The 21221-nt window shown below is 45.7% G+C and overlaps 1 protein-coding gene across 2 annotated transcripts in view, besides 3 other annotated features; it reads right to left on the bottom strand.

The window, feature by feature from the left end:
* Nucleotides 54-348: a silencer, noted in NCBI's record as "tiled region #11659; K562 Repressive non-DNase unmatched - State 21:Repr". NCBI's record gives its function as "represses a minimal TATA promoter and a strong SV40 promoter by Sharpr-MPRA in K562 cells {active_cell/tissue: K562}" and the evidence as "EXISTENCE:reporter gene assay evidence [ECO:0000049][PMID:27701403]".
* The window catches only part of SMYD1 (SET and MYND domain containing 1), a 45560-nt gene continuing 33772 nt past the window's right edge, over nucleotides 9434-21221 (bottom strand). For both annotated transcript variants that reach the window (NM_198274.4, NM_001330364.2), the window contains 4 exons: nucleotides 19668-19760; nucleotides 16330-16493; nucleotides 14279-14447; nucleotides 9434-12464 (listed from right to left, as the gene is read on the bottom strand). In NM_198274.4, the coding sequence (NP_938015.1) occupies nucleotides 12306-12464; nucleotides 14279-14447; nucleotides 16330-16493; nucleotides 19668-19760 (585 nt within the window). In that variant the 3' untranslated portion in view covers nucleotides 9434-12305. The remainder of the gene's footprint in view (nucleotides 12465-14278; nucleotides 14448-16329; nucleotides 16494-19667; nucleotides 19761-21221) is intronic.
* Nucleotides 14713-15212: an enhancer, noted in NCBI's record as "H3K4me1 hESC enhancer chr2:88407125-88407624 (GRCh37/hg19 assembly coordinates)". NCBI's record gives its function as "activates a minimal SCP1, AML or CMV promoter by ChIP-STARR-seq in naive and primed H9 embryonic stem cells {active_cell/tissue: H9 hESC(naive and primed)}" and the evidence as "EXISTENCE:reporter gene assay evidence [ECO:0000049][PMID:30033119]".
* Nucleotides 15213-15714: an enhancer, noted in NCBI's record as "H3K4me1 hESC enhancer chr2:88406623-88407124 (GRCh37/hg19 assembly coordinates)". NCBI's record gives its function as "activates a minimal SCP1, AML or CMV promoter by ChIP-STARR-seq in naive and primed H9 embryonic stem cells {active_cell/tissue: H9 hESC(naive and primed)}" and the evidence as "EXISTENCE:reporter gene assay evidence [ECO:0000049][PMID:30033119]".

Raw genomic sequence — 21221 nt, 5'->3', positions numbered from 1 at the left:
GAAAGCCAGGTGTGGCTAGATCTGCAGGAAGGCCCTGGAATGCCCTTTCCCAGTCAGGCACACGGGCAAGGAGCTGGAGCCAGAGGATGTGCAGTGGGCTGGCCTTGAGGGTGCTCTCTGTGGGGACAGGGAGCAGGAAGACTGGGCAGAAAAGGAGAGCTATACCCACAAGCACAGCCACAGTACCAGCCCACCAGCAGACAGGTGCAGAAAGGTCGACACTGACCCGCCCAATAAACTTTTCCTCCTGTGGGAGGCTGAGCAAAGGGCTTAGTGAGAGGCGCCAGAAGTGGACAGAGGAGGCTCAGTGGAAGTTCCCTCCATGCTATGGGCAGGGGCAGAAGGTAGAGGAAGGGGAGGAGTCCCTTCAACACTACTTTATGCCAAACTGTTAGGGGTTGAGTTGCATTCCCCCAAAATTTATATGTTGAAGTTCTAGCCCCCGGTATCTTGTAATGTGACTTCATTTGGAAATAAGGTCATTGCAAATGACCATAGGTGGGCCCCTAATCCACTATGTCTGGCGTCCTTATAAAAGGGGGAAACTTGGACACAGAGACATGCACATGGGGAGTGTCCATGTGAAGACTAGAGCTATGCTGCCACAAATCAAGGAACTGTTCGAAGCTGAGAGAGAGTCCTGGACCAGATCCTTCCCTAACTCCTCCAGAGGGGGCATGGCCCTGCTGTCACCTTGATCTTAGGTTAATGGCCTCCAGAATTGTGAGATAATACATTTCTGTTGTTTAAGCCTCCCAGTTTGTGGTACAATGGCAGTCCTAGCAAATTAATAACAGTACTCATACCCCTCAGAGCTGCCATTTCTACCTTCACAAGACCGTTCGGCACCCAGAACTGTAAGCCTTGATGAATGACTGAATCATTCACATTCCCCCTCTTCTCTTCCCACTTCTAGAGTTGAAACTATTACTTGTTACTTGGATTGTTTCCCAGGCCACCTGTAGCACCTCCCTGCCCCACTCTCACCTGCAACTCTCCAGCCCACAACAGCGTCCTCCTCCTTAAACAGGCCACCAACCATAATGCATCCTACCTCATTGTCCAGCACGTAACAGTCACACTCCTAAATCTGGCATCCAAGCCCCTATATCATGGGTCAGCAAACTTTTTCTGTAAAGATCCAGAGAATACATTTTCTCAGCTCTGCGGGCCATTTGGTCTCTGTCACAAATACTTATTTCTGCCATTGCAGTGCAAAAGCAGCCACATCCAAATGGTGTGGCTGTGTTCCAACAAAACTCTACCAGCACTGAAATTTGAATTTCATATAACTTGTACATCATAAACTATTACTCTTCTTTTAATTTGTTCCACCATTTGAACATGTGGAAACCATTATTAGTTTGTACCTTGTATAGAAACAGGTGGCAGCCAGATTTGGCCTGTGAACTGAAAGGATGCTGACTCCTACAGTCATAGCCTGTCCAACCTCTTTTAGCCTGTAATATACATTCTAATCGAACTAAACAACCTTCCACTCCCCTCACAATTCAAGCACCACCTGCTGTGAGATGTCTTCCCAAACTGCTCCGCTGAAAGTGCTCTCTCCCTCTCTCTGCCGTTTTATCTGGACCAGTCTTTGCAATGCCGTTCCTCCTGCCTCGCACTATTATTTTCTCCATATATTTGTTCTCCTTCTCTCACCTGAGACTTCTTCTCAGCCTTGAGGAAGAAACAGATCCATTATTTGGAGAACTAAGGCAGACTGAAGGAAACAGTTTCAGTCTGCCTTTAGAGAATGATATTACTTCAGTAAGAAGTCAGAGTTGGGAGTTACAGGGAGCAAGAAAACAACAGCACACTATGATATGCCATTCACAAAAGTAAACTCCAGATGAACTAAAAAGCTAAATAGGCCAGGCGCAGTGGCTCAAGCCTGTAATCCCAGCACTTTGGGAGGCCAAGGCAGGTGGATCACTTGAGGTCAGGAGTTTGAAACCAGCCTGACCAACATGGTGAAACCCTGTCTCTACTAAAAATACAAAAAATTAGCCAGGCATGATGGTGGGTGCCTGTAATCCCAGCTACTCGGGAGGCTGAGGCAGAAGAATTGCTTGAACCTAGGAGGTGGAGATTGCAGTGAGCCAAGATGGCACCACTGCACTCCAGCCTAGGAGACAGAGCGAGATTCCATCTCAAAAAAAAAATAATAAAAATAAATAAATAACAAGCTAAATAAATATGAAATGTTAGAGATAGATATGACTGTAGATAGCTTCCAATTATAGAAGACTTTTTTATACCAGATTTTTTATGCAAAAACCATCTAGGAAAAGATTAATAAATTTGACTACCTCAAAAACTTAAAGTTTTATATAAAAAAGGCACCATAAACATAGTTTCAAAAAAAGGTGTGGCTTACATAACAAAGGTTAATAGATATAAAAATATTCCCCAAATCAAAAAGAAAATCAACAAGTCAATGGAAAGGTGAGTTAAGGACATTAACAGACATCTCACAATATAAAATACGTTTAGTCTTGTAGTAACCAGGGAGGAGGGATACAAGATGAGGTACCATTTAAAAAATCAAACTAGTAAAAAATTAAAAGGTTGATAACACCTGGGGTTTATAAGGATGTGATGAGCTCTGCCTTTGGTGGTAAAGATATAAAGTGGTGGGCTGGGATTGGTGGCTGATGCCTGTAATCCCAGCACTTTGGGAGGCCGAGGCAGGCAGATCACCTGAGGCCAGGAGTTCGAGACCAGCCTGGCCAAGAGACCAGCCTGGCCAATATGGTGAAACCTCACCTCTACTGAAAATACAAAAATTAGCTGGGCATGGTGGCGGGCACCTGTAATTCCAGCTGCTCGGGATGCTGAGGTAGGAGAATTGCTTGAACCCGGGAGGCGAAGGTTGCAGTGAGCCGAGATCACGCCATTGCACTTCAGGCTCAGCAACAGAGCAAGACTCTGTCTCAAAAAAATAAATAAAATTAAAAAAAAATATATATATATATATATATAAAGTGGTGAACCCCATATGGAGCAACTTTGACAGCATCCATTAATATTTTCAATGTGAAGTCCCTAAAACCTAGCAAAGCCACTGTTGTGTCTCCCTTAAGGAGAGTTTACACACATGCACAAGAAGCGAATAAAGGATGTAATCGCCAAAAACTGGAAACAAATGCTCCTCAGTAAAAACAGGGTTCGATTAACTGTGGTACAGCCATACTCTGTCATAACCTACAATAGAGTAAACCAATGAAGTAGATCTGTATGTACTGACATAGAAGTATCTCTAAGACAAAGCGTTTCTTTTAAAAACTAAGTTTTAGAAATAATATTGACAGTATACTATATTCAAATAAATGTTGTTAAAACATGAAACAAAATTATGTTGATACATCTATGTATGTGAACTCATAGAAAAAAAATCTAATAGTTGGACATCATTATCCAGAACACCAAATAATAGCCATTACCTCTGGGAACAGAACTGGTGGGAGGTCGAGAGCTTTTTGCATTATTTATATCGTTTGAATCTTCTGCAAAGAACTCATTTTGTGAAACTATTATTTTTTATGAGCAATAAATTTTTTTAAAGGCAGATGACAAAGTAAAAATATTGGGCATGAAGACATGGTTCTAGTTAACTAATCTACAACTGTGGACCTCAGCTTTCTCTCCTGTAAAATGGGTAAGACAATCCCTTCCCTCGTGGCTTTTGTAAGGAGCCCATGAAATGATGCAAGCCAAATGCCATCCAAATAAAACATGTCATTATTTCCATTCTCAGATTCCTCAGGGGATGTCAGTTGGGTTTGATACTGAGATTGTTAGCAGAAGCTGTGGTGCCCAGAGAAGTGAACCTCTGAGAACAGATGCAGAGGCTCAGGGAGGAAAAGAGGTTTGCTCTGGCCCACCAAGCCGACAGACAGTGGCACTGAGGTGCTTTGACTCTGGAGTCATGGGAGAAGAAAGTAATGCAGACAAGGTCTTCTCAGCAAAGCTTCCAGGGATCTGACAAAATTCCCAGTCTCCCCGCTAAAGGGGTTCTTCCCCTGAGAACATCTATGGGTTTTTGAGGGGATTGTTTGTGCTTTTTCCTGAAAAGGAGAATTAATTTTATATGTTGAATTTAGATTTTGTACAGGTGCCCAGAGAACTTTGGGCCGGAAGCCTGCTTAAATAAATGGAATAAACAGCTGTTGATGGTGTGGGCTATTTTTACCTTGACCCCTCCCGCACTTCGGGACCCTCCACGCCTCCTCTCTGCCTGTCCTGTGGGCATCCCACCAACAGAAAGTGCTGTTTCCCGGTGACAGACCATTAATTTGCAAAGAGCCAGTTTGGATATCTATGTCCACACAAAAGTAGCCTTTTATTTCCTTTTTTTTTAAAACTCACTGCCATTAGAGTAAGTACAGTGATTGGTGGGCAGGGGAAGGGGCGGGGGTGCTGCCTAACTTAGTCCATGCTTTATCTTCAGAGCACTTTTTCTGTATACACCAGAGGCATGTTGACCATCCCATGATTTTGTAGCATGTTTTACTAGAAAAACATGGAGATGTGGAATTAAATGCATCTTCTCCACATAGCCTAGCCTCTTTCAGCCAAAGCAGGGCTGGGCAGTGCTAAGCCCTGAGGATACAGTGATCCCCGGGTGACTCACTGTCAGTGGGACCATAAGCGTGACAGTGTCATCCACTGTGATGCAGGTGGGTACTAGCTCCAGCCCCTGCTGCAGACCGGATAGGGGTGGTGCCTAGAAAAAACATCTCAGAGGCGGTATGAAAGCATCTAAGGGTATTTGCTTCACAGGGAGATGTGTATAAATGGGGCTTGGCAGAAGAGGAGGCAGAGAAGGAACAGAATCTCTACCATGAGTATCCTATGACTCTAGCAATGAGTCTGAATTTGATCCTGAAGACAGTAGAGAATCATTGAGGGGTTTTAAGCTCTAAGAGTAACATGATACTAAATGGTTTGTAAAAAAAATTTTTCTGGCCACAGTGTCAAGGACCAGTGAAAAGAACCAAAGCTGAATAGAGAGAGGCAATGGTCCAGGCAAGAGATGCTGGGGGCCTCAACCAAAGCCGTGCCCATGAGGACGGAACATAGCAAAAGGTTTAAGCATATTTAGGAATTAGAATCCACGGGCTCTAGTTACTAGACCTGGGATGTGCGTTAGCAAGATGTATCAGTTAAGATGTATCAGCAGGAACTAACGCACACTGTGAGAATTTAATGAAAGTGTTAGAGTAGGTAGCTAGGTAGACATGAGCAGGGCAGGAGAGGGCCCCCCACCAAGGAATGTCAGGCAATCATCAGGTGATGGTCAGGTAGTTGTTAAACTGTCTCTCTAAAATAATAATTGGTCACAGCCAGCGCCAGGGAAAAGCAGTCTCCCAATAGATAGAAAATCCCTTAAGATGGTGGTCAGCAGCTTCCCAATAAGAGCTCAGGATTTGGGCAAGTGGGTTCAAGCATGTTCATTAAGAGACAAAATGGCGGAGCTTAACTAATACATGACCTTCCTCTAGGAACCTTCAACTAGTGAGGAAAAAAACACCTCAGATGAGCATGTGCGCAACTCCAGTAAACACACTGCGCGTGCAGCCCCGCCCAAGTGCTGGCAGGCCACTGCACATGCGGACAGCCTGCCCCAAAGAAAAATCAGGGGAGGAGAGACACAAAAACCCAGGAGCATGCCAACATATAAAACCCCAGATCAAAGGTCAAACAGGGCACTTGGATCTCTCAAGTCCCCCGCTTGGTCCTCTTCCAAATGTACTTTACCTTTCGTTCCTGCTCTAAAACTTGCCTCAGTCTTTCACTCTGACTTATGCCCCTCAGACGAATGCTTTCCTCTCGGGAGGCAAGAATCACACTGCTGTGGACCCATTCGGATTTGCCACTGGTAACAAAAGGACTATTTACAAAGATGTGGTTAGAGTAAAGGGAACCCATTAGGTAGCTGAGGCGCCTAGCCGGCAATGCAGGAAGCCACCACCACCTGTAGACCTGAAGAGACAATGCAGGGGACAGCGTTACCGGAGCCCAGGGAGACCTAGAGCCGTAGGACAACCACCCAATGGGAGCTGGACCGCTGGCTGGGCAGTTGTCGGGGGTGTCTTTCTGCATTCCAGTCTCCTGCTGGTGCTTCTTATTGGTTAAATGAGAAAGAAGAAGTCAGCCTTTCTGACACAAAGCAGGGCAGAGAAGAGTGGAGAAGGCCTGTGGGAGAAATGGAGAAAAACCAGCACAATGGGAACTCCTTCAGTTGCAAGTGAAAGAAATCCACCCAAATGGGTTAGGTCAAAAATAAAAATGGGGCAGGGGGAACATGGTTCACTAGCTCATAGAACTAGAAGGGACAGACGGATCCAAAGCTGCATAACAACTCAATATTTCTCCATCAATATAAGCTGTGGTCTCCGGGGCCTCTCCACATGGCAGAGAGTATGATTGTCAGCACCTCCATGGTCACAAACAAAGCTTGCATTCCTAGAGAACAGCAAGGACTCCTCCTCCTCCAGTTCAGAAGGGAAAGGGTTGCCTAACAAGGGTCCAATTGCCTGGCTTCAGTCACAAGCAGTATGGTTGGAGCCACCTAGTCCCAGGTGCCGATTCAGCATACAGCTTAGCATTTGACATCGGCCTTCGCGGGAGTGTTTACACCAAGGAAATCGGCAAATGCTACAGATCAGGGCTCTTGTTCACATTGTTTTTAAATCTCTACCGGCACTCCATTGACTCATGGGCCATGACTGTGTGTCAGGAAATGCTGTGCTGTAACAGGTTCAGGCTCCATCCTGCACCAGCCTCTCCTGAACCGCCTCCTCAGAGCCTCCTGGTGCAGAGCAGTGTCCCTAGAGAAAGGGCTGGAAAGTGTCCACCAAGGCCAAATATAAGTGCCACTGACGGACACAAACCACATATCTAGAATTCTATCTGCTGCCTCAAATTGTAGTCCCTTGCACTGTCCCAGCTCTTGGCCATTCCCCAGAAAGGTGCTGGGTCTGTAAAGCGATTCCACACCTGCCCAGCACAGATGAGCAGAAGGGAAGCAGTGAGAAAGGGCTGTGACCTACAAAGGGAGAATTTTAAAACCCTGCCTTGGTGAACAGGGAAGACAAAGAAGGCAAACTGGACATGGCCATCAAAGAGCTGTATGGAAAGGAATATTCATTCTCCAGGGGTCTGGACTGCAGGATTCAAGTCCCAGGTCTTCTGCTCAGAGGCTTGCAACTGTGGATGCATGGCGGGTCCGAGGACTCGATAGCAAGACTGCTGTGGTAAGCAGAATGAAGTCCCCCAAACAGTCCATGTCCTAATTCCCAGTCCTGTTTATGTGTTACCTTACATGACAAAGGGGATTTTGCAGATGTGATTAAGGTAAGGACCTTGAGATAGGGAGATTATTCTGGATGATCCTAGTGGATCCAATGGAATCACAAGGGTCCTTATCAGTAAAAGAGGAAGGCAGGAGGGGCAGAGGAGACATGATGACAGAAGGAGAGTCAGAGTGATGTGATTGCTGGCTGGGGGCCACTGCCAAGGAATGTGGGCATTTTAGAGGAAGACGCTTGCTCTCCTGGAGCCTTCAGAAGGAACACAGCCCTGCTAGTGCCTTGATGTTAGCCCCGTGACACCCATTTTGGACTTCTGACCTCTAGAACTGAAAGATGATATATCTGTGTTGTTTTAAGCTACAAAATGTGTGTGTTAATTTGTTCCAGCAGCCATGGGAAATAAACACAACTCCTAAAGACATCTGGGGAACTGTAGCATTGTGCTTGGGCCAGATTGTTTTCAGACCAAGCTTCGTGAGCTGGGGAGGCCAGGACTGGGAAATGAGGACTGAGTGTCTGCCAGAGTGAGCAAAACAGTACCATGGCTTACAGCCGTGCTGCCTATTGTACTTCTCTACGACAGAGGAGTCCTCCTGGCCCAGTTGAGACTGGGATGTGAATGTAATTAATGCTGGGCCAGGAGGGGCAGGGAGCTTCTAGAAGGGCTGTTTACTTTCATGCACTGGATGTTATCCACAATTGTGCACGCCTTGGTCCAGAAGCTTGGACCTCCAACTGCCCTCAGAAATGTTATTCTTGGCCAGGTGCAGTGGCTCACACCTGTAATCCTAGCACTTTGGGAGGCCCAGGCAGGTGAATCAGTTGAGCTCAGGAGATTGAGACCAGCCTGCACAGCATGGTGAAACCTCAACTTTACAAAATAAATAAATTAGCCAGGGGTGGTAGTGCACGCCTTGTGGTCCCAGCTGCTTGGGAGGCTGAGGTGGGAGAATCGTTTGAACCTGGGAGGTCGAGACTGCAATGAGCCATGATCGCTCCGCTGCACTCCAGCCTAGGTGACAAAGGGAGACCCTGTCTCTAAAAAAATAATAAGAAGAAATGTTGGTATTCTCTCTGGTATGTGCCCCCAACTATATTTTTCCCTTTGGTATCCTTTAGAGAAGTACACTCTGTGACTCACCCAAGCAATGGCTATGTCTGCCCTTTAATACATGTATTTGTCAATACATTGATGGTGCAGTGGGCAGATGGCTTCATCTAAAGGGTAATCAGAGGTCTTAGACTTGCTTGGCATGGCCCTAAGGAATAGAGGTTTCAGGATGCATATTTCACCCCAGTTTAAGTGAAGACTTCTTTAATGATCTTTCTACTATCTATTTTGCTACTCCCATGTAGTGAAGCTCCTTTATAGATTGACAACACTGCAAATTAATGTGTTCTGAAGTTAGGCCATTACCATGGTTTAAATATTCCCACCATGGCCAATTTTAAGTTATCAGTGTGATGTTGATGAATGTAGAGTTGGGAAGAGATGTGCCCTGCCGGCTCTCCCAAGCTGATAAGAGCTAGTTCCATCACACCCCTGCTTGCCTCAACCCTTCACCTTCATCTTCTAACTGGGAGAAGGAACTTCCCAGGAGAAGCAAGGTTGGAATGCTCAAAGTGTAATAATAGCTAATAATAGTCACTAAGCACATATGATGGGTTGGGTTCTCAGGGCTTTACTCTTTAAAAAGTTAGTCCTCACAGTAAACTTATGCTAGGTAGAAGTCAGGAAACTGAGGCATGGGTGAAATAACTAGTCTAAGGTCACAAGGATAAGATTAGGAAAGCTGGGATAAAGACAAACTTAGACTGTTTTTCTTAGTGTCCATGTTCTTAGAAATGACACTGAAGTATTTCTCTAAAATTGCACACTCTAATGTGGTAGCCACTAGCCACATTGGCTAACTATGTATAAATTAGTTGAAATTAAATAACATTTAAAATTCTGTTCTTCAATCATATTCCAGTGCTCAATAGTCACAAGCTGCTAGTGGCTACTGTACTGTACTGGACAACACAGATATAATACATTTCCATCATCACAGAAAATTCCATTAGACAGCGCTGCTCTAAAAAGATTGTCAGAAAGAAAGAAGCCACACTTATTTGCTTGGAAACACAAAGTATTTAATAGGATTTGCTGACTGCTATAACATAGAAACTCAAAATACAGTTTCATGGTTCTTTTGCCTTGAAGTAAGCAAATTCATTCATTTGTTCATTCATTCATTCATTTATTCAACACACATTTACTGAGCACCTACCACATTCCAGGATCTGTGCAAGGTTCTGGGGATAGGAAGATGAATAGAAGGACACAGCTCCTGCCCTCCAGGAGCTCACAATCTGATGGAGGAGGTGACGTTCTTGGGTGGTGTTCCAAGAAAGAACAGATCAGAGGAGAGGAGACAGGAAAGAGAAAAAGTTTCACTTTGGACATGATGAGTTTGCTGGGCCTGCAGAACATCCGAGAGGATGAGTGGGGCTGGAGCTCAAATGCAAGATCGGGGAATACAGATTTGAGAATCATCAGCCCTAAGGTGGTCATTAAATGAAGGGTCTGCCTGAGTTCATGCAGAGACTGTGTGCAGAATGACATGAGAATGAATCAAGGACAAAACCAACTCCAGGAAATGTCAATATGTCAGGGGCAGGGAAAGAAAAAGGACCAGCGAAGGAACCTGAGAAACTAGATCAGAAGATCATCACAGGGAAGTGGGTCACCAAAATCAATGGCTGGGAGTGATGATTGACATCGAAAGGCCAAATCACATAGGAACTAAAATGTACCCATTAGATTTGATCTTGGTAAGAGCCCTTTTAGTGAAGGAGTGGGAGTGGAAGTCAATCTGCAATGGATTCAAGAAGAAATGCAAAGTGAAGAAAGGCAGATGATAACTATACAACTAAAAAAAACTCAGTCATGAAGATTAAGATCCAAGAGTTCTCAGCATTTTTACTGATTGCACCTGAGAAGGCCAGTGGGGTGACAAATGTCAAGGATCCAGGATGGAGAAGCAATAATAGATGGAGCAAAGTCTGGGGGTCAAAGCAGGGGAAGGGATCCAGAGTACATTCCAAAGGGAAGAAGGACTTGCATTCCAGTGGTCTGAGAGGGAAGGAGGAGCACAGACACAGAACACAGTTTGTTAAAGACAACAAATATTAGAAAGATAGGATGGAAAAAAAGACTACGAATATGGGGAAATGACCAGGGGCTTAGCAGATAACAATGACAAAGAAGGGAAAAAGGTTTGGGGGAGACATTTTATATGAAGGTAAAAGAGTGATAATTTGAACTAGCCAGTTAGATCCCTGGGAGAAAGTTAGTGCCGTCCCTAAGCCTGTGATGTGGGGGCTTGAAAGACTATCAGTCTTCTTGTAAAACCTTCCAGAAAGGAAATTCTTCAAACAAGACCTAAGTGTCAGATACAAGTATTTTGCAAAAGTGTGGCCCATTTGCAGAGTTTTCAGCCACTGGGTAGTGCTCAGAGGGACACAGCAGGTCATCATGTGGTGAGGATGGAGAAGCTAACATTTAGGCAGAGATAACAAACGTGGGACCTGGTGGGATCAATTTACTTCAAGATGTGGGGTACAGCTCTGAGGTCAATGGTAGTCCTGGGTTGTGTAGAAGTCTTGGTGACACCCCAAACTGAAGGGATCTTTTCCAGGATCTCCCAAAACATTGGTGAGAAATTTGGGGTCTCAGTAGATAACAGGATAACAGGCTAATCTTGGGACTGGTTGATTCTCAAGACCCTCATTTCTTAGATGGAAATCACAACAGCCTTCCAGGAGATCGGGATAAATTGGCCACACCTCTGAACAGGGTCTAACCCAGGTGTACAAGAATCCAGATTCAAATGTTCTTTCTGGTGAGAAGAGCAGAAGCCCCCAGGGCATGACAGAAAAAGAAACTCAACAAGGGAAGTAATAATTATTCAGTATTGAGAATGGAGCTTCATGGGGGCCCATGATAGAGTCTAAGCTGGTAAAGACCACCCAGGCACATGTAACCAAATAAAGCCCCCAAGGGCCAATTCTGCAGGGCCCATGATCAACAGGTATGTGTGTTTCCAAGATTCTCTCTCAGCTTCACTTTGAAAATATTTTTTAAATCCTACTAGGCAAATAGCCAGAAAAATATCAGACATTATCTAAAATCACAGGGAACCACAAGGCTTGGTAATAAGGGTGATAGAGGGACTTATTCCCTCTCTGTGTGTTCTAGAAATATTTCTAGAATTCTAGTTGGAACCCAGACTTTTTTTCCCTGGACTTTAAGACCTCAGTTGGTTTGGGCAAGGCCCCCAGCCAGCTCTTTCGACATATGCACCATTCTGAAGTGGTTTCAGGTCTCTGAGTAGAGCCTACGTGGCCCAAACACAGCCCCTTCTTCAAAACTCCACACCAACCACACAGTATCACATATCCTGCTCAGCCAATTGTGTCTACTGCAGACCACAGGTGAGACCAGCAGCCCCAGAGACACCTGCACAGATGGGTGAGCAGCCACCTGAGACTCCAGGCACCTGCTACCCTCAACTCAGATGTCATACTCTCTGTGATACCCCCACTGCACACACACACATCACACACCAGACACATTCCCTCCTCTGCACCCTCCTCCATATAGTTTATAATTGCATTTATTATTACAGTGTGCTTTAAATGTTTCTCTACATTTTGCTTCCCCACCCAACGACATTTGGAGCTCCTTTATTGGGTTCTAGGGCCTATCATCCAATAATATTTGTAGGAGGAGTTGATCTGGGCTGGGCTAGAGTTAACTTGAATTGAATAGACTTGAATTGAGCCAAAATGGCTCTGGGAAACATAGGGCAGTAAATTCTCACAGCAACAATGTTAAGCATTACCTCAACTTCCTCATTAGGGGTCTCCCGAGAGACCCACCACCTCCAGAGTCTCTCCCTAGCTCCCCAGCCACATCGCCCCTCCTCCACTGGGCAGTCCTCATTGCTTCTTGTGGAACAGAGCTGGGGATGGCTCATTGCTGGGCTCGGCCATGACCTGCATGGGCTGGTTGTTCAGGGCAGCCTCGCGCATCTTGTAGTACATGAATTCGTTCTGGCGGAACATGCGTAGCTCCATCTCCGTCTGCACCCGCATGGCCTGTGGGACACAGATACACCGTAAACAGTGATAGCAAGCCCCTAGGACATGCTGGTCTCTGATATACCTTGGGGTAAATTATTTCCAGCCACGGAGATTCAACTCTACCCCCTCAGAATACACACACACACACACACACACACACACACACACTCATTCATCAAGGGCCTAATGTCCTGGCAGTGGGCCCACTTTGTCAGGGAGAGGGAGTCAGAACCCTGAGAGAGTAGCTGAAGGAACCGTTCTCAGAAAAGAATGCTTGTTCCCAGGAACTGCCCAGTGGGGACCTGGATTTGAACCCTGGCCCCTGCAGATACTAGTGTGGGACCTCAGGCAAGAGACATAATCGCTTCAGCCGTCAGTTTTCTCACCCATTTTGTGGCTTCATACCTTACCGTGGGTTGGGAAGATGACAGTGTGTGACACACAGAAGAGCCCTCATCCTCCCACATGTCCATTCAAGAAATACTTCTTAAGGGCCAGGCATTCAGAGGCCGAGGATACAGCTGTGAGTAAAATTGACAAAGGCTCTGCCTTTGACAGGCTCGGTACCCTAAACATAAAGCTAGTTAGTCCGCTTCTCTGCCCCTCACTTGGTCCTCCTGCCAATTTTAAGGGGCTAATATATTATTTCCATTTTATAGATGAGGAAACCTGGGATCTGAATAGTAAGAGGACATCCATGTCTGAGACCACGCCAGTCCTAAATGTCATAGTCATCCTACATTTTATAACACCAAAGTCTGTCCACCTTCCCTAGACTGTACTGTCTGAGGACAGCCCTGTCACTCTCAAATAAACCAGCTTTTCAAAGCACCAAGGACATCAGCAGCACCATTTGCCAGGCACTAAGTGCATTTCACACATTGACTCATGAACACGCATCACAACCCTATCCTTTCCCCCTATTTTACTGATGAGGAGACTGACAGCCATACATTCAATATTTGCAAAATCACACAACCAGAAAGCGGTGAAGCTGGAACTCAACCTGGAGGTCTGATTCCAGAGCCTGTGATCCCTAACTCCACTCCATGTTACACAGAATACTTTCTAATATAAATGGCTGTGTGCATGCACACACGCACACATGCACACCCCATTGTTTACGCTTCCTCAGTCCAGGCTTGGGGTGTTATGATTCAACAGACTCAGGCTTCAAGTCTTAGCTTTGCCATTAGCTCGCTATGTGACTATGGACAGATTGTCCTCCTTCCCTGGGCCTCAGTTTCCTCATGTGTGAAGCAAGGTGATATGGTTTGGATATCTGTCCCTTCCAAATCTCACATTGAAATGTGATCCCCAGTGTTGGAGGTGGGGCCTGGTAGACGTGCTTGAGTCATGGGAGCAGATCCCTCGTGAATTGCTTAGTGCCACCCACTTGGTAGGAGTGAGTTGTCGCTCTGAGTTCACACCAGATCTGCTTGTTGAAAAAAGCCTGGCACCTCTGCCTCTCTCTCTTGCTCCCTCTTTCATCAGGTGACACACTGGCTCCCTTTCCCTCCTGGCATGATTAGAAGCTTCCTGAGGCCCTCACCAGAAGCAGATGCCAGCACCACACTTCCTATACAGTCTGCAGAACCATGAACCAACATAAGCCTCTTTTCTTTATAAATTACCCAGTCTCAGGTATTCATTTAGGGTAACATGAACAGTCTAACACACAAGGGTAGTGGGCTAAAGCGTTTCTGAGTTCCCTTTTGTCTAGCTGGGAGTATGTGGACTTTTCTAAAGCAGAGTCCACCTGAACTCACACTCCCATCCTCAGAAAGCTCAGGCCAGGAAGGGAACACCAGCCTCAAGACGCTACTTGCCTCTAAGTCCTTAGTGATGGGGTGGGAGGGTCCGTGTGTCACCAGGAGAATGGCATAGGCTTTGCAGATCATCCCGTGCCCCACCTCAATGTTACCAGCATGCCAGTTGGTCAGCCCTGCCCGCATCACGGCCATGCCCAGTTGGGCATTGTTGGGGTGGTAGAGCTTCCTGTGGGAGCATAGCAGATAATTATACATCATACCAATCACCCTTATATCTGCACTTAATTTAATAATGTATAAAGTGCCCTTGTTGATTAAGCCCATCTGTCTTCCCCTCAGCACTGCAAGGCTTCTGTAGCCGCCAAGGGGGAACTGAGGCACAGAGATATGGAACAAGTTGCCAAACATTCTACACAGTGAGGCTGTGACAGCTGAAACTCCGGCCTGGGCTGCCCAGCCAACTCCTTGTGAGAAAAAGGGACCAGGATCATACTTTCTGAGCTTGGGGACTCTAGCCAAGATGGCCGAATAGGAACAGCTCCAGTCTACAGCTCCCAGCGTCAGCGACGCAGAAGACGAATGATTTCTGCATTTTCAACTGAGGTACCAGGTTAATCTCACTGGGGATTGTCGGACAGTGGGTGCAGGACAGTGGGTGCAGCGCACCGAGTGTAAGCCGAAGCAGGGCAAGGCATGACCTCACCTGGGAAGTGCAAGGGGTCAGGGAATTCCCTTTCCAAACCAAGGAAAGGGGTGACAGACAGCACCTGGAAAATTGGGTCACTCCCACCCTAATACTGCGCTTTTCCAATGGTCTTAGCAAATGGTACCCCAGGAGATTATATCCCACGCCTCGCTCGGAGGGTCCTACACCCATGGAGCCTCGCTCATTGCTAGCACAGCAGTCTGAGATCAAACTGCAAGGCGGCAGCGAGGCTGGGGGAGGGGCGCCCGCCATTGCTGAGGCTTGAGTAGGTAAACAAAGCCGCTGGGAAGCTCGAACTGGGAGGAGCCCACTGCAGCTCAAGGAGGCCTCCCTGCCTCTGTAGACTCCATATTATCTGAGCTTGAGCACAGGAAGCTCACAGCATTTGGGAGTACCTCAGACGTCTCCCCAAAAAGTGGTAGGAAGGTCAAGGGAGAAAAAAATAATTTAAATGTCCTTTTTGAGACAGCATTGTATTTTCACCTGGTTGGCACCCTTTTGCAGGGCTTCCTTAGCATGTTGTACAGTTTATCTACATTTTGTTTATGACTAACATCCTCTCAAAGAAATGAACGTGTGTCAACTTATTTGGCCAGAAACACAAATTTGCATGACAACATAAACACAGAAAGCAAGAGAGGGTATTGGCAGATGGAAGGCAAGGGAATTGAATTTTACAATTTTTTTTTTTTGAGACAGTCTTGCTCTGTCGCCCAGGCTGGAGTGCAGTGGCGCAGTCTAGGCTCACTGCAAGCTCCGCCTCCCAGGTTCACGCCATTCTCCTGCCTCAGCCTCCCAAGTAGCTGGGACTACAGGTGCCCTCCACCATGCCTGACTAATTTTTTGTATTTTTTAATAGAGACGGGGTTTCACCATGTTAGCCGGGATGGTCTCTATCTCCCCACCTCGTGATCCTCCCGCCTCGGCCTCCCAAAATGCTGGGATTACAGGCGTGAGCCACCGCGCCTGGCCAGAATTTTACAATTTTTAAGCAAAGTGATTGATGGCTCTTTTAAAAATAAATAAATAAATAAATAAAAGCTCCTAGACTTGCCTGTGTTGATTACAGGGTGGAGGGCAGGGTCCAATCACTTAAAATCAAGCTGGGGTTAGCCTGAAGGAAGTCAAAAGCAGAAGATGCCACCCAAGTGATAGATGTGCTGGAGAATTTGGGAAAGACCAGGGATGACAAATAGGTTTCATCTCAAGCACAAACTCTGATTGGTCATTAACACTGGAGCACCATGATAAAAAGACTCAGTCAAAAAGAGAACCATGATGGATTACTGACGCCTGCTGTGGGTATAGGAGGGAGAGGCACCAGTAAATGTGCCATCTATTTGCCATCCCTGGAATACACACACTTCCAGGAGACTATCTGAGACCTAGAATCGTCACCTACATATAGCCGTCCACCATCCTCCTGGCATAGAACGAGGCCTCCTCAAAGGCCTGGAGGTAGGAAAGGACCTCCGAAACAATGCTCAGCATCCGCAGCATGTAGATGTTGGTGTCAGCAAACACTGGCTCCTGCTTCTCCAGGCACTCCCGGCATAATTTCACAACCTAGAGTGAGACAGAGGCCCTGCCCATTACCATTGCACCAGAGCACACGTTTAATTCACATACGCGACCATCATGGTGATACCAGACAATCATTCTTTTTAAGACTGGGGCAATTGCTGACAGAGGTGGGAAAGCACAGGTTTGGGGTATGAATTGCAAAGTGGTCCTGTTGGCTAAGGTGTAAGAATGGGAAGGGTAATGGTGTGAGACATGGCAGATGCAGCACAGCGAGGAGTTTCCAAAATCAATAGGTAGCAGGAAGCTATGAAAGCTATACATACACACACACACAAACACACACATATATGTACAGTCAGATCTGTATATGCACAAGTTCCACATCCATGGATTCAACCCACTGCAGGTCAAATATATATATATATTTCGAGACAAGAGTCTCACTCCATTGCCCAGGCTGAAGTGCAGTGGCTCAGTCTCAGCTCACTGCAACCTCCCCGTCTTAGCTTCAAGCGATTCTCCTGCCTCAGTCTCCTGAGTAGCTGGGATTACAGGTGCACACCACCACGCCCAAATAATTTTTGTATTTTTAGTAGAGACAGGGTTTCTCCATGTTGCCCAGGCTGGTCTCCAACTCCTGAGCTCAGGCAATCCGCCCACCTCAGCCTCCCAAAGTGCTAGGATTACAGGCATGAGCCCCACCATACCTGGCCAAAAATATTTTAAAAGAAAGAAAGAATCATACAACAGCAAAAAACAATACAAACACATCAATACAGCATAACAGCTATTTACACAGCATTTACATAGTATTAGGTGTTATAAGTAATCCAGAGATGCTTTAAAGTATATGGAAGGATGTGCATAGGTTGTACGCAAAAATACACTATTTTTACAAGGTACTTGAGCATCTGAAGATTTTAGTATCTGTGGCAGTCCTAGAACCAATTCTCTAAAGATATCGATATGTGTGTGTGTGTGTGTGTGTATATATGCATGCGCATATATACATATACAAATATATTTATATATCTTATAAGAACACATTGAGATGAGTACTACTAATAATCCCATTTTACGAGATGAGAAAACTGAAGCACAGAGAGGGTAAATACTTTGCCAAAGTCACACAGATGGTGAGCAATGGATCAAGCACTGAAACCAAGCAGTTGAGCCGCAGCTTCACCACCATTCCTGTGATTCTCCACTCACTGTGCTTTGGAAACATCTGAAAGCTTTTTTAAAACACTGAAGTTCAAGTCCTACCCCAGACCAATTGAAACCAAATATCTGGGAGAGAAACCCTGGATGTGTAGTTTGTATAAGCCCCTGGGTGGTTCTGAGGCTCAGTGAGTTTGAATAATTATGTCCTACTGAAGTGTTCAAGATGGATGAGCAGAGAAGGAGGCTCCCAGGAAGCTGGGAAACATCCCCAGAAGGATGCAGCCTTGGCCCTGGTGAGGAAAAAGATGGACCTGACCGCAATCGTCCTGGAGTCAGGCTTTTCTGACTGACTCTTGTACAGACATAGGATTAGGCCCTACCCTACAAAGTCTAGTGGTCTCTAGATTTTAGGTGTTTGTTGTTCTCCTCTCCTTCCTTTGCTGCTCTCATGGGAGAAATGTCATACAATTCCATTTGAAATCAGTGAGAACTAATTTTGCTCTGAGACTTTCCCAGAGTTCATGAGGCAACCCGAGGTGGTGGGGGCCACCCCGAGGTGGCGGGGAGTGGAAAAATGATGGTGGCAATCAATTCATCCTGAAAACAATCCTCTTAAACCTATGGAGGCAGTGTCCAGAGCCACACCTAGCCCTGCCAAGTCTGAATGGAGAAGGAGAAGAAACGAACAGGAGAGAACCCAGGGCAATGGAGCCAGTGGGGCCCTCCTGCTCACTCCAGCTCCCACCTCGTGCCTCTGACAGATTTTCCATGTTGTACAATAACACTTTGTGTGTGTGACTGTCTACCCACCTGACAGAACTCCTTCCAGGCAAGGAGAGTGTCTTGTGTTGGCCACCCCAGTAAGGGTTTAGAAATGTGCAATAAATGAGTTAGTAAAGAAGGAGGAAGAGGAGAAGGGAAATAGAAATAGAAATGAGGCCAGGCGCAGTGGCTCACGCCTGTAATCCCAGCACTTTGGGAGGCCAAGGCGGGCAGATCATGATGTTGGGAAATCGAGACCATCCTGGCTAACATGGTGAAACCCCTTCTCTACTGAAAGTACAAAAAATTAGCCAGGCGTGGTGGCGGGCACCTGTAGTCCCAGCTACTTGGGAGGCTGAGGCAGGAGAATGGCGTGAACCTGGGAGGCAGAGCTTGCAGTGAGCCGAAATCGTGCCACTGCACTCCAGCCTGGGTGACAGAGCGAGACTCCATCTCAAAAAAAAAAAAAAAGAAATAGAAATAGAAATGAATAGAAATTAATCTCCCAAATCTGCATGCCCTAGTGACATTAACATTCGAGTTGCTTAGCGAGCTTGAGGAACAAAATACTAATTCATGGTCCCTGTTTTCTGTTGCAGATTGAATGAGTCACATCTTAGAGTATGAGAATGGAAATCAGTATTTCCAATAAGCTGCCCAGGTTAATTCAATGCAAATACCCCGCAGGCCAGTGTTTGGCAGTGGGTCTCGGCTTTGGTTACACATTGAAATCACCCAAGAGCTTTAAAAATCTTGATATCAGGGTCCCATGGCCAGAGATTCTGGTGAAATTGTCCTGAGTGGGGGCCTGAGCATCAAAATTTTTCAAAGGTGATTCTAGTGTAGAGCCAGCTGAGAATCCCTGGTGCTTCAAGAGCCAAGGTTGAATGCTCATTTGGGAGAGACTGAAAACTGTAGCTGGCACATGCATTCAATTATGGGAAAACAAGCAACTCACTCCCAGTATGTCCACTGGCATTTGCATTCCCCCATCTCCGATACCAGGTTTAGCTATCACAGATCCCCCAGGGACAAGTGTCTGGCTGCATTTGCTCCCCTCAGACCCAGTTTCATTGGGTTAAACAGTCACTGAGAACGCACCCCTAAGAGATGCTAAAGATTTACGGACAAGAAGAGTCATGATCTCAACCAAGGGACATCTTCTAGAAAAATAACCTGCTTGGTAGCCCCCCTCCCCCGCCGCCCGTTCTCACGCCACTTCCCTCCCTTACTGGAGAATGTTTCCACCCTCCTTTCTACCCCCATCCTCTATAACAAGTGAATTCTTACCTCATGATACAAACCCTCGGAACGAGCCTTGTCTATCTTTTCCAATGTATCCTTGGAGAATTGTATCATCTCCTTCACCACTTCCTGAGAGGGCTGGGAAAGAGAGACACATTGAGCTAGAGATGCCTTCATGAGGCAACCCATTCCACCTTTGAATAGTTGCCATCTTTGACATTCAATGTAGCACAAGGTTAATGTCTTCCTCATTCTGAATGCCTCATTCCTGTAAATGCTACCCAAGATCCTGTAGCTATTCCAGTTCCCTCATCATATTTCTGACTTGTGTTTTCTATTAAGCCAAGTCCCAGACCCTTGCTGTCAGCCAATCATCCCAGCCTGTGCAAATTCCTGGCCCTTTGAACCCCAGGGCAGAACCTGACATTGATCCCTATTGTGTTTTCTCTGGCATTTTGGATTCTATCACCCAAAATATTTGCTGCTCTCCCTCTTTGTTTCAAGTCAACCACATATTCCACAGGTACATCCTTACATTTTTGTTTTCATCCAAGTCATTGATTTAAATACCAGCCAGCACAGGGCTGAAGACAGAGCCCAGGGACTTGACCCAAAAATCATACTCCAATTTGTCTTCGAGTTCATTAAGGAGGCTCCTTGTGATTATAATTATTCAAACTCTTCCAAATGTCTTAGCATCCAGCCTGTATTTCCTTGTCTTGACCAAAAGGATAACAGGAGAATATCTGTCAGCTGTTCCTGTGAAATCTAGACTCATTAGGATTATTACATTTGCCTAAGCAGCCTAGTGATCTTACCAAAAAAAACAAAACAAAACAAGGTTTTGATATTTGAGGCAAGGAAGTGCCAAAATTAAGAAGGCAGTTCCCACAGGGACATAATAATTTTGAAGAAAAAGAGCCAAATTTCTCAAAGTCCAAACAAGAAGTTTACATGCTATGCTTATTCCTATCAGAAGTCCTTTTCTGAAACATTTTTTTTTTGCTTAAGCAAATCTTTTATAACTTTCTTCCAAAATGAAAATAACTTTATTATTTATTCTGACTGTAAAATTGACATATGCAAGTTGTGAAAATTAAAACAATATTAAAAAGTATGGTTAAAAAAAAAAGAAATCCCTAGAACCCACCTAATGACTACAGTTAGTATCTGGGGGAACATTTTCCTATGCATGCATACAGAAATAATATTTAAAATACTTAATGACTGATACAGAAAAAGCACTGACCAATCAAAGCACAGACAGGGACCATCAACAATGGGTATGTCAGCCCAGCACGATGGCTCACGCCTGTAATCCCAGCACTTTGGGAGGCCCAGGCGGGCAGATTACCTGAGGTCAGGAGTTTGATACCAACCTGGACAATAGGGTGAAATCCAAGCTCTACTACAAATACAAAAATTAGCCAGGTATAGTGGCACACGTCTGTAGTCCTAGCTACTAGGGAGGCTGAGGCACAAGAATCACTTGAACCTGGGAAGCGGAGGTTGCAGTGAGCCGAGATCACACCACTGCACTACAGCCTGAGTGACAGAGTGAGACCCTGTCTCAAAAGAAAATTAAATTAAATTATTAGA

This window comes from Homo sapiens, chromosome 2 (genome assembly GCF_000001405.40).
Source record: "Homo sapiens chromosome 2, GRCh38.p14 Primary Assembly".
Taxonomy (NCBI): domain Eukaryota; kingdom Metazoa; phylum Chordata; class Mammalia; order Primates; family Hominidae; genus Homo; species Homo sapiens.
The sequence above is the reverse complement of the archived record's forward strand: the minus strand, read 5'-3'. Positions and strand labels throughout refer to the sequence as shown.